At 39.7% G+C, this 13,291-nt stretch overlaps 2 annotated features.

Annotated features, from left to right (window-relative positions):
• Nucleotides 11,575-11,840: a transcriptional cis regulatory region, noted in NCBI's record as "candidate enhancer chr3.5107 targeted for multiplex CRISPR interference". NCBI's record gives its function as "positively regulates ATP11B gene expression with high confidence in K562 cells {active_cell/tissue: K562}" and the evidence as "EXISTENCE:mutant phenotype evidence [ECO:0000015][PMID:30612741]".
• Nucleotides 12,618-12,707: a transcriptional cis regulatory region, noted in NCBI's record as "candidate enhancer chr3.5108 targeted for multiplex CRISPR interference". NCBI's record gives its function as "positively regulates ATP11B gene expression with high confidence in K562 cells {active_cell/tissue: K562}" and the evidence as "EXISTENCE:mutant phenotype evidence [ECO:0000015][PMID:30612741]".

Genomic DNA, 13,291 nt, shown 5'->3' on the forward strand with positions numbered 1-13,291 from the left:
CTAAGCCAATGTCTAGAAGGATTTTTCTAATGTTATCTTCTAGAATTTTCATAGTTTCAGGTCTTAGATTTAAGTCCTTAATCCATCTTGAGTTGATTTTTGTATAAGGTGAGAGATGAGGATCCAGTTTCATTCTCCTACATATGGCTAGTCAATTATCCCAGTACCATTTGTTGAAAAGGGTGTCCTTTCCCCACCTTACATTTTTGTTTGCTTTGTCAAAGATCAGTTAGCTGTAAATATTTGGGTTTATTTCTGGGTTCTCTATTCTGTTCCATTGGTCGATATGCCTATTTTTATACCAGTACCATGCTGTCTGGGTGACTATGACCTTATAGTATAGTTTGAAATCAGGTAATGTGATGCCTCCAGATTTGTTCTTTTTGCTTGGTCTTCCTTTGGCTATTGGGCTGTTTTTTGGTTCCATATTAATTTTAGAATTGTTTTTTCTAATTCTGTGGAGAATGATGGTGGTATTTTGATGGGCATTGCATTGAATTTGTAGATTGCTTTTGGCAGTATGGTCATTTTCACAATATTGATTTTACCCATCCATGAGCAGGGGATGTGTTTCCATTTGTTTGTGTTGTCTATGATTTATTTCAGCAGTGTTGTATTCCCAGGTCAATGGAGCTATGATCCTAGAAGGATTGTGGCTGTCTCTACTGTGTCATGCAAGTTGTCAGGGAAGTTGGGGAAAGCTGGCAGTCACAGCCCTCACCCAGCTCCCCTGCAAAATGAAGGGCCAGTCTCATTCCCACCGTTCCCCCACTAACAGCACAGAGTTTGTTTCCAGGCTGTGGGCAAGCAGGGCTGAGAACTTGCCCCAGGCTACCTGCCTCTCAGCTGCAGAAGCAAGTATGGATTTCCTTCTTCCCCACCTATGGAGTCTGCACACTGGAGTCACGCCCTCCCCTGAGTTCTGGCCAAGAGGGTTCTCAATTAGTTCAAATTGTTACAGAGTTCAGCTGGAGATTTCCTTCTCCCTGTGGCCTATTCCCAGGGCCTCTAGCTGCCCTCCCAAAGGATCCCTGTGAGGCCAGGAAGGAATGGCCTTCCTGGGGACCCAGGAGCTCCCAGCACCTTTCCGGCTGCTTCCTCTACCTCTGTATTTTGCTCAGCTCTCTAAATTGACTCAGCTCCAGGTAAGGTCAGAACCTTCTCCCTAATCTAGACCTTCAGTTTCCCTAGTTGGGGTGTGTGTTCGGGAGCAGATGATCTCCCTTTCCCACTTCCACAGTTTGGGCACTCACAGTATTTGGGGTGTCTACTGGGTCCTGCAGGAGCAGTCTGCTTCCTTCAGAGGGTCTGTGGGTTCTCTCAGGTTTCCTGGTTTATTCCTGCAGTCGTTCTGGAGCTAAAATTCACAGTGCGAGCCTCCACACGCTGCTCTGTCCGTCCGAGTCAGAGCTGCAATCTAGTCCTGCCTCCTGTCCCAAGACAGTCTTTTAAATCATCTACAAAATCTTTATTGTTTTGCATTTGACATCGAGAAGGTCTACCTTTCACCTAAAATGTATATGGGTCATAGTGTACATTATGGGTCCAATATCTTTTTTATTCTTTCTTTTCTTTTTCTTTTTTTTTTTTTTTTTGGCATTTATGGCTTATTTTTCCTAGCATCTTTTATTCTTTTATTGAAAAGATAGTCCTTTCCCTACTGCTCCACAGCAGTAATCAATATAATTAATTCATAAGTATATATATGAGTTTTAAGCTCTCTATTTTGTTTATTTATCTATTATTAAACCAAAATGATGCTTCATAATTACTAATGCTTTTAGGTCTTGGTATCAAGTAGAGCAAGTGTTCCCACATTAGTCTTCTTCCTCAAGAATATCCCAGCTATCCTTGGCCCTGTGCAGTTCCACATAAATTTTGGGATTAGTTTGTCAAGTTTACACACACACGGAGAAAAACATTGTTGCTATTTTTGACTGGGATTACATCGAATCTGAAGATTAATTTGAAGAGAATCAATATTCTTTAAATGTTGAGACATCAACTCCACATATATATTCAATTATTTAAGTTGCCTTTATTTTTTCTTATTAAATTTTATAATTTTCACAAGGGTTCTGCACATTTTTTAAAGATTTATACCTAGGTACATGACTTCTTATGCTATTTTGAATGCTATTTTTTATTTCATTTTCTAAATATTGATTGCTGATTATAGACTTGCAATTAATCTTTACACTGATTTTGCATCCACTGCTGAATTTGGTTATAAATTCTAATAATGTATTCATAGATTCTTTTGGATTGTCTGTGTTACCGTCATATCATCTTCAAATAATGACAGTTTTGTTTCTCTCCAATCCCCGTATTTCTCTCCCTCCACCCCGCGTCCCCTTATCTTACTGTTCTAGTGCTGAGCTGAAATTCTGAATAGAAATAGTGGTAGCGGGCTTCCTTGTATTTTTTCTGATTGTCTCATTTGCACCCATGGAATTTTTGTTTATAGAAGTGAGTGAGTGACAGCACAGAGAGATTAATGCCATTGAAGAAGAATTTATTTTCCAGGAAAACGGGACATGCTACACCACACAGGCCCACTTGGGGAGCACCAGGTGTGGTCAGGAGGCAGCAGCAGAAGCAGGGGAAAGCCCAGGCCAGAGCCTGTATTAGGCTTCCTTGGGAGAGGCAAGGCAGGGCAGAGTCAGCAGTTTAGGAATGGCAAATCTGAGTAAAAATCAGCAGGCTTTGGGGTATGGGGAGCTCTCTAGTTGGCTCGTACCTGGCCCTGCGATGATTTAAAGCAGGGGAAATGTTGGCGTGGTATGTGAGAGTTTGATAAAGGGGAGTGGGTGGTTTGCATTTTAGAGGCCTGCTCCCAAGTTGTTTACTATTTTGAGAAATTAGCTAGCCCTGGGAGGGCAGTCTCTCCTTGGCCAGCAAGATTTTTAAGAAGTCAAGACATCATAAGATACTGAAAATGAAAACATAATAAACACTGATCCAAAAGAGAAAGCTTCCAACATCCCATTCAGGTTTTTTGTTTATTTTGTTTTAGATATCCTTTATCCTAAAAAGGTTCTTTTCTATTCCTCAGTTTTCAACAGTGTTTTTCCTAATTATGAACAGATGTTGGATTTTATCAAATATTTTTCCCTGAATCAATTGATTATATGACTTTCCTCATATCTAGCAATATGAATACTCAATTTATTGAACTTTTAACGTTAACCAATATTTTTATTTCTGAGAATAAACCCAACTTGGTCATGATGTACTCATTTTTATATATCGTTAGATTTGGTTTGTCAACATTTTGTTAGAATTTTTGCAACTGTACTTATAAGAGAAATTGGTCTGGTTTTCCTTTTTTTGTGCTGTCCCTATTGGATATTGGTACAAGGTTATGTTAGCCTCCTGCAATTAGTTGAAAAGTATATCTCAGGAATATTTACCAAGAAAGAGTTGGGCGGGCATGGTGGCTAAGCCTATAATCCCAGCATTTTGGGAGGCTGAGGTGGGTGGATAACTTGAGGTCAAGAGTTCAGGACCAACCTGGCCAACATGGTGAAATCCCATCTCTACCAAAAATATAAAAACTTAACCGGGCATGGTGGCACACACCTGTAATCCCAGCTACTCCAGAGGCTGAGGCAGGAGAATTGTTTGAACCCAGGAGGCAAAGCTTGCAGTGAGCCAAGATCGTGCCACTGCACTCCAGCCAGGGCTACAGAGTAAGACTCTGTCTCAGAAAAAAAAGGCCAGTCGCAGTGGCTCACGCCTGTAATCCTAGCACTTTGGGAGGCCGAGGCAGGTGGATCACTTGAGGTCAGGAGTTCGAGACCAGCCTAGTCAACATGGTGAAACCCCGTCTCTACTAAAAATACAAAAATTAGTTGGACATGCTGGCAGACGCCTGTAGTCCCAGCTCCCCTGGAGGTGGAGCTTGCAGTGAGCCCAGATCACGCCACTGCACTCCACCCTGGGTGACAGAGTGAGACTCTGTCTCAAAAAAAAAAGAAAAGAAAAGAAAAGAAAGGGTTAATAGAATATTGGCATTTTTTTTCTTGTTTGGTAGAACTGTCCAATTAAGCCAATCAGGCCTAGAATCTTCTTTACAGGAACAACTTTAACCGGGATTTCATTGCTTTAATAGTTATAAAAGTATTTCAATTTTCTATTCTTTTTTGTATCAATTTTGATAAGTAAGTAAGTTTGTGTCAGTTTTTAGAAGTTTGCTATTTTTCTGGACATTTCATCTAAATTTTCAATTTTTTGGCATAAGCTTCTTCATATTATCCTTTTATAATCTTTTTAATGCCTGCAGGATTGGTAGTTTTTTTGTTTCTGATATTGTTTATTTGTTCTTTCTTTTTTTCTTGATAAATCTCACCAGAAGTTAATCAACTTTTTTAGTCTTTTAAAATAACTCTCTTTGACTTTGGCAGTGCTTTCTATTAAACATTTGCTTTTCTCTTTATTAATTCATGTTCTCATCTGTTTGACTTTCTCCCTTCTAATTTCTGTGGATTTACTTTTCTGTTGTTTTCTAAGTGTTTGAGATTGATGTACAGCTACATAAATTTCAACCTTTTTCCTTTCTTAATACATACATTTAAGGCAATAAATTTTCTGTTAAACTCTTCTAACTCCATCTTTAAAAGGTTTAAATGTACCATTTTTACCATTATTCCGATAAAAGTATTTTCTAATATTTCCTGTGATTTCTTCTTAGAGTCGTGGGTTACTTAGAAGCATACTGACTAAACTCTAAGCAAATGGGAATTTTTTTAATTAATCTTTTTTATTACTGATTTCTCTAATACATTGTACTAGAGAACATATTCTATATGATTTCAGTACTCTCACGTTTATTAAAAACCTTCTTTACAGCTGCTGTGCATTGTCAATAATTGTATATATTCTGCATGACTTTTTGAAAAGAATATGCAATACATAGTAGTTGTTGTATGTTTGGTCAAATATGTTAAGCATATTGCTCATATCATTTCTATACCTCATGATTGTTTTCTCAATGAGTGAAAACATGTATTGAAATCTTTATGGTGAACTTATTTCTTCTTGCAGTTCTGCCTGGTTTTGCTCTCTATATGTTGATATGGCCATTAAAAGCACGCAAATTTAGAATTGCCATATCTTCCTGCAGAGCTTAACCTTTTATCATTATGAAGCAAAGCCCTTTAATTCTAGTAATGCTTTTTCCCTAAATTCTATTTTGTGTGATATTACTGTAGCTGCTCCAGTTGTAAAACAAACTGGGGAGGAAGGAGGGGTAAGCATTTCACTTTCTATCTTTCTGTATCATTATCATGTTTATCCTTTATGGATATAGATTTGGATATATCTATATTTGTGGATAAATATAAAAGATTGCTTGAAAAATTATATATGTGTATATATAGTCATACATACAGTTCTTTAACTGGAGCATTTAATCCATTTATAATTAATGTAATTACTGTTGTCTTAGAGCTATATTTATCATCTTACTGTATGCTCTCTGTTTGTATAACAGCTCTGTGTTCCTTTTCCTTTCTCTCTTCTCTTGCATTCTTGCATAGTGATTGCTTGGGGGTTTATTTATTTTGTTTTGTTTTTATTGTGCTATTTTCCCTGTTAGTTTGAAAGACATATACTCTTTTTAGATTTTTTCCTTTAGCGATTACCCTAGAACTTAAGAAATAGATCCTTAATTTCTGATGCCTAATGAATTGAAAAATTATTTGTAGAACTAATTGAATGGCAACAGTAGCATTATAATGTTCCAGGTGTTATTTTTATCTGCTCCATTCAGGCACCTAGAGGCACTAGCAGTCAGCATCACCTTGCTTGGGATTTTCCAGGCCACCCATATGATCAGAAAGGTGTAAACCATACACGCTCTGCTTTACTGCCGGTGTAATTTTATTGCTATGTTCCCAGTCGAAAAGGTAGGAGCGGGGTGTTATCTATCAGGACATGTGCACTTTGCACACCCTGGATTCAAATCTAGCACCCCTAGCTCAGGGAGACCTCAGGTCTGCCTCACAGCTGCCTTTTCCGAATCAACAGCAAAAGTGATCCAGTGGTATATTCACATCCTGACCTCCCACCCTCTGCTAGATCTCAGTCCAGTCATTGTTCACTGTGTTGTTTAGTCTTTGATGTATTTTAGAAAAAAGTTTAATACATTTCATTCAGCTCTTTAGTTGCAATGCCTGAGAAAACTTACCCTCTCAGTTCCTGCCCCTGAAGTTCCTGGAGCTACCTATAGCTTGGTTACTCCTCTACCAGTACTTACTGAGAGCCTACTATCTGCCTGACCCTATTCTATGCTCTAGAGATTCTGCAGTAAAGTCCAGGCCTCAAGGAGTTGACATTCTGGCTGAAGAAAGAGATGTTAAACAAGTAAACTTGTCTAAATAGATTGAGAGGGTGAACTACACAACGTCCTGGCAAAGAGCTTCTTAGGCAGGTGAAACAAATCCCAAGGCCCTGAGGCAGGACAGTCAGAGTGCCTGGAGCAGACTGAGAGAAAGGAGGGTAGCAGAGATGAGGTCAGGGTGGCCAAAGCCAGACTGCATAGGGACTGGTAGGGTTTTATTCTAGGTTTAATGAAAAGTCCTTAGTGTGGAAAGATTTGAAAGACTTGTGTTTGTATTAAGTTGCTCTGGTAGCTTTGTGGAAAATAGCCTACAGATCTTTTCTCTGATTCTAATCGAACACACTCCAATACATTTCTTTTCCCTTCTGAATTAGCTACAGTCACATAACCACAAAAGAAAAAAAAAATCCTAAATCATATACCTAGAGTGGTGACTGCAGAGAAACATGAGGTATTTCATTCGATTTGGAGGAAGACAGTGAGGACTCCTATTCATATTCCAGGCTGGGAAATTAGCAGCCATGGGTGTACAGGACTCAAGCCCTACTATGGCAAGTCTGGCCTCCCGAGACTCTGACTCCTTCTTTGACACAGCCACACCTACAGCAAAAGACTTGAGCAACGTGCTGCTGCCCAGCCCCAGGTGGTTCTAGGAAGCAGCCACTCTCCTGAAACAATCAAGGCCCTGATTTCAACCTAGATCACCTGTTCTGATTTCTCCCTCCTTCATCCCCAGTGGGCACGTCGTTACCCTCTGCCACCCAATGCTTCGATTGAGATCACCTGTGTCACCTGACATGTTCTCAGAATAGAAAATGATCAGGCCCTGGCACCAGGGATAAAAGTTACAGGTAGCAGATAGGTAACCCCTGAATAGTAGCTGAACACATAGTCAAACTTACTAGTGCAGAAACCAAACACATTCATAGACTGGTGCAAAACTTCATAGAGCAGTTTTTGACCGCCCTTGAAAAATAAAGTGGGAGAAAGCAATTCTGGCATAAATAGAAAGGCCGATGCTCACGTTAAAAACTCTGGAGAAAATGGTGGGCCGGACACAGTGGTTCATGCCTGTAATCCCAGGAATTTGGAAGGCCAAGGCAGGTGGATCACCTGAGGTCAGGAGTTCGAGACCAGCCTGACTAACATAGTGAAACCCCATCTCTACTAAAAATACAAAAATTAGCCGGGTGGGCGACTGTAATCCCAGCTACTCGGGAGGCTGAGGCAGGAGAATCACTTGAATCTGGGAGGCGGAGGTTGCAGTGAGCCGAGATCGCACCATTGCACTCCAGCCTGGGCGACAGAGCGAGACTCCGTCTCAAAAAAAAAAAAAAAAAAGAAAGAAAATGGTGTCCTTGTAATCCCAGCACTTTGGGAGGCAGAAGTGAAAGGATTGTTTGAGCCCAGGAGTTTGAGACCAGCCTGGGCAACATGGCAAGACCTTGCCTCTATTTTTGTATTTAATAAATTTTTTTAAGAAAATGGTTTCCCATTTCTCAATTTTGTGTGAACAGATGCTAAATATCACATATACTAAGATGGGCCATGAAGTCAAAGTAACCGTTTTTATTCCCATGTATAGCAACACTTCATCTCCTCAGAATCCAGCTGTCTAGACATTTCAGCTATCCAGCATGTAGATATAAGAAAGGCGGCAAACAAAAACGTATCCAAAGAATTCAAATATATTTAACAAGTTTTACATTTTAAAGTATCTCTTTTATCTCAGGTTATTCACATTTATCTCAGTTCTCTTTTATCTTAGTTCTTTTTTCCCTGAGTTGTACACTACATCTTGATGTTAGAGGTGAGAGACGGGCTACCATAGGAAACAACCAGAAATAATAGTCTGCCCTCTAGAGGCCAGAGTAAAAATTTGAAAATACAGATGCAGTATCTCAAAAAATACAGCAATTTTGTCTCTGGGCAAACAGCACTACGATTTTCAGTGAAGGCATTGCAGCACTGTATGATAGCTGAAGTATACAATGATTTCCCTTAAAGATCAAGATCAATGCTTGAGCATGGGAGGTCGAGGCTGCAGTGAGTCATGATTGCACCACCGCAATCCAGCCTGGGCAACAGAGCAAGACCCTGCCTGAAAAAAAAGTGTCCAGAGGTCCAGATCAAGATCAAGAAAATGTTAAGTTGTTTTCCTGGAAGGGCAAGAAACGTGTATTGCATTATAGAACAAATCCCACTAAAACATAACCAGGATTCATTTTGTAAAGTGAGTGAATGTGAAGGTGTAACTCACCTGTTCAAAACACCATTTTACTTGGAGTAACTTTTTTTTCTTCTCTTCACATGTGATTAGATAAGCTCTAAGAAACTAATTGTGTGGTGAAGAACCTGGGTTCTGATATCAGACAGATCTAGACTCAGTTAACAGCTGTGTGACTTTGGACAAGTTACTTAACTTCCGTAAGCCTAGGTTCCTGATCTCTAAAATGAGATTATCAGTACCTCCCTTACAAGGTTAACATGAGGATTAAGTAAGATGAAGCATTGTGAGGCCCTTCCGCCTCACAGTAATTGCTCAATAAATGAAAACTATTACTTCTACTATCTCAATACTGGAGACAGCACTGCCTAATAACTATGGACTCTGCAGCCAAAAGGCATAGGCTCAAAGTTCAAATCCTGGCTTGGCTACTTACATAATAGTGTGACCTTGAACAAGTTACTAAATCTCTCTGTGCCTCCATTTCCTGGTCTTTAAAATAGAGACAGTGATTGTACCTACCCGATAAAGTTGTGAAGAGGATTAAGTGAGCTAAGGCAGGGGTCTCCAACCCCGGTGAGCGGTAAGCGAGCATTACTGCCTGAGCTCTGCCTCCTGTCAGCTCAGCAGTGGCATTAGATTCTCATAGGAGTGTGAACCCCACTGTGAACTGCGCATGCGAGGGATCTAGGTTGTATGCTCCTTATGAGAATCTAACTAATGCCTGCTGATCTGAAGTGAAACAGTGTGGTCCCAAAACCATCTCCCCAACACACAGTTTCTGTGAAAAATTGCCTTCCACGAAACTGGTTCCTGGTGCCAAAAAGGTTGGGGACCGCTGAGCTAATGCATTAGAATTGCTTAGATCAGGGCCTGGTGCATAGTAAGCACATTTAAGTGTTGACTGTCATTGCTGTTAATGACTGATCATGCCATTGTTAGGAAGCACTTTTCCTCCTTTGATTTAGCCATGACTTCCTCCTTTGTCCTCCCCTGGCAATCATGTCATATACAAAGTCCTTTTATGTGTATCATCCCAAATGAGTCTTAGGACATGATACCAATGTTTATAAATTTCACACAGGTATTTGTCCAAAACAATATTTAACTGAATCATGAATCCTAGTATCAAACAATACAAGTATCACATCACATAATAATACATTTTTAAAACTGAAAGAAACTAACATCTATAGTTAGAAAAATACGTTCCTCCAAAGCAACATGGTATTGGTACAAAAACAGACACATGGACCAATGGAACAGAGTAGAGAACCCAGAAATAAAGCCACTATCCTACAGCCAGCTGAACTTCAAAAAGTCAACAAAAATAAAGGCCGGGCGCAGTGGCTCACACCTGTAATCCCAGCACTTTGGAAGGCCGAGGCGGGTGGATCATGAGGTCAGGAAATCGAGACCATCCTGGCCAACATGGTGAAACCTTGTCTCTACTAAAATACAAAACATTAGCCAGGCATGGTGGCACGCGCTTGTAGTCCCAGCTACTTGGGAGGCTGAGGCAGGGGAATCACTTGGACCAGGGCGGCGGAGGTTGCAGTGAGCCAAGATAGCACCACTGCACTCCAGCCTGGCGGCAGAGTAAGACTCCGTCTAAAAAATTAAAAAATGAAAAAAATAAAAAATAAAAAGTCAACAAAGTTAAGCAATGGGGAAAGAGCTCCCTATTCAATAATGGCACTAGAATAGCTAGCCAGCCATCTGCAGAATAATGAAACTAGATCCATTTTACCATATACAAAAATTAAATCAAGATCGATTAAAGATTTAAATGTAAGACCTCAAACTATAAAAATCCTAGAAGAAAACCTAGGAACTACACTTCTTGACATCAGCATTGATTTATGGCTAAATCCCCAAAAGCAATTGCAACAAAAACAAAAATTGGTAAGTGGGGCCTAATTAAACTAAAGAGCTTCTGCACAGCAAAATAAACTTTCAACAAAGAAAACAGACAACCTACAGAATGGGAGAAAATCTTCACAAACTATGTATCTGACAAAGGTCTAATATCCACAATCCATAAGGAACTTAAATCAGCAAGCAAAAAACAACCCCATTAAAAAATGGGCAAAGGACATGAACAGATACTTCTCAAAAGATATGCGAGCAGCCAACAAACATATGAAAAAAATGCCCCACATCGCTAATCATCAGAGAAGCAAATCAAAACCACAATAAGATACCATCTCACACCAGCCAGAAGGGTTATTATTAAAAAGTAAAAAAAATAACAGATGCTGGAAAGGCTGCAGAGAAAAGGGAACACTTATGCACTGTTGGCGAGAATGTAAATTAGTTCAGCCACTGTAGAAAGCAGTTTGGAGGTTTCTCAAAGAATTTAAAACAGAACTACCATTCCACCCAGCAATCCCAAATCCCATTACAGGGTATATATCTAAAGGAAAATAAATTGTTCTACAAAAAAAGACACATGCACTTGTATGTTCGTTGCAGCACTATTCACAATAGCAAAGACAGAAGCAATCTAGGTGCCCATTAATGGTGGACTAGATAAAGAAAATGTGGTACATGTGCTCCATGGCACACTCTGCAGCCATAAAAATGAACAAATTCTGTTTTTTGTAGCAATGTGGATGCAGCTAAAGGCCATTATCCTAAGTGAATTAACACAGAAATAAAAAAAAATACCGCATGTTCTCACTAATAAGTGGTAGCTAAACATTGAGTACACATGAACATAAAGACGGCAACCACAGACACTGGGTACTACAAGAGGGAGGCGGGAGAGAGGGGAGTGTAGGCTGAAAAACTACCTCATTCTATGTACTGTGCTCACTACCTGGTGATGCAATCATCCATACCCCAAACCTCAGCATCATCACACAATATACCCATGTAACAAACCTACACTTGTACCCCTGAATCTAAAATAAAAGTTGAAATTATTAACAGAGAGAGAGAAAAATGGAAGCAAGGAAGGAAGGAAGGAAGAGAGGGAGGGAGGAAGGGAGGGAGGGAGGGAGGGAAATAGGTTCCTTATCTCTCTAATTCCTGGAGATTAAAGCTACTGAGTCTAATTGTGAAATCAGTTTAAATAGCTGCAGTTTCTCCCACTTAGCATAAGGTGGCACCAAAGGATGTTTTAATTTGTTGCTCAATGCCTTGGACAAAGTGCTCCAGCTAGTCAGAAAACCTAGGAATACAAGCAAGATCTTCTGAACTAACTGAATAACCCTGAGAAGCCTCAGTTGTCAGCAGCTTCCTCGAACCTTTTGTGCCCAAACTTCTGAAACTGTTTCATCTTGGGTAAGAACAGAAAAGTTCTCTTACAAAAATATGCCTAAAAATATCCTACTGTTGAACTATTGCTGGGGTAGATTGTTTGACACCTGCCAGGAAGCTGTGCTTCCTGGTAAACAAAAAGTAACCCATGTACAGTATAGGAAAGCCATCAAATTTAAAATACTAACAAAAAATCATCAATACTACAACTCGGAGATAACCATAGCCTCTCCCCAAAATTTCCACCTCCCAAATTGCCTATTTCTAGCTTCCCACATTTTCTCTTTCCCAATTTCAGCCTCCCAAGTTCTCTACCAATATTTTCCAGTTGTCTAAATTCACAATATTTGAGACATTTTATTCTTTCCTAACAAAAATAGTAATATCTCCCCTAGAACTGTATTGTTTTAAAAGTGCTTAATCGTTGGAGATCTGTGGCACAGCCATGTGAATATACTTAATGCTACTGAACTACACATTTTAAAATGGTTTCAATGCTAAATTGTATGTTTTTACCACAATTAAAATTTTTAAAAATTGTTTTCAAAAGGAAAAAGTGTTTAACCATTAACATTTTTATACATTTAGTTCAAATTAACTTAAGCAGTCCTGTCCATAGTACATTGAACTGTACATAATACATTGCATTTAAAAATGGGCCAATAAGCAAGCTCATGCTAATAAAATAAATCAAATAACCTTGTGACTTTGGGACTCACTGGGCATGTGTTCCAAAGAACATACCATGCCTAGTGCTGTGGATATCAACAGGGCAAGATAAATGTGAAGGTTAAGAGTAGCCCTTCAACTTCAACTGCAATTTCTCCAGCGAGTTAGCCACAAGGTCCAACTGACCACAGGTGTCTCTTTAGATTAGGTGGTGAGAAAAAGACTGAAAAAGTCCTAGTCTTTGGCAACTACAAGATCATTGAGTGTCTAAGTTGTGAGGAAGGAATAAGAGAAAAAGTGAACTAGTTTGTGGTCAGTCCGAGACTCCATCTAGATTTTAGGATGGAGTGGCAGTGAGGGGTTTTGTAGGAGGGGCTTTCACAGATGGAAGTCATACCAAAGTGAGGGTCTATCATCTTAGAATCTCCAAAGGCAGATGGCATGGGTTCAAACCCTAGCTCTGCCACTTACTAGGTGTGTGGTTAGCTTCACAAATAACTTTATCTTAGTGTGTCTACTATCCTCCTCTGTAAAACAGGAACTACAATGGTAATAAAGTAGTACCTATCTCACAAGATGGGTAAGTAAATTAAAAGAATTAATAGTGTGAGGCCAGGCACAGTGGCTCACACCTGTAATCCCAGCACTTTGAGAGGCTGATGTGGGCGGATCACCTGAGGTGGGGAGTTCAAGACCAGCCTGACCAACATGGAGAAACCCCATCTCTAATAAAAATACAAAATTAGCCAGGCATGGTGGTGCATGACTGTAATCCCAGCTACTCAGGA

Source organism: Homo sapiens, chromosome 3, assembly GCF_000001405.40.
Source record: "Homo sapiens chromosome 3, GRCh38.p14 Primary Assembly".
NCBI lineage: Eukaryota > Metazoa > Chordata > Mammalia > Primates > Hominidae > Homo > Homo sapiens.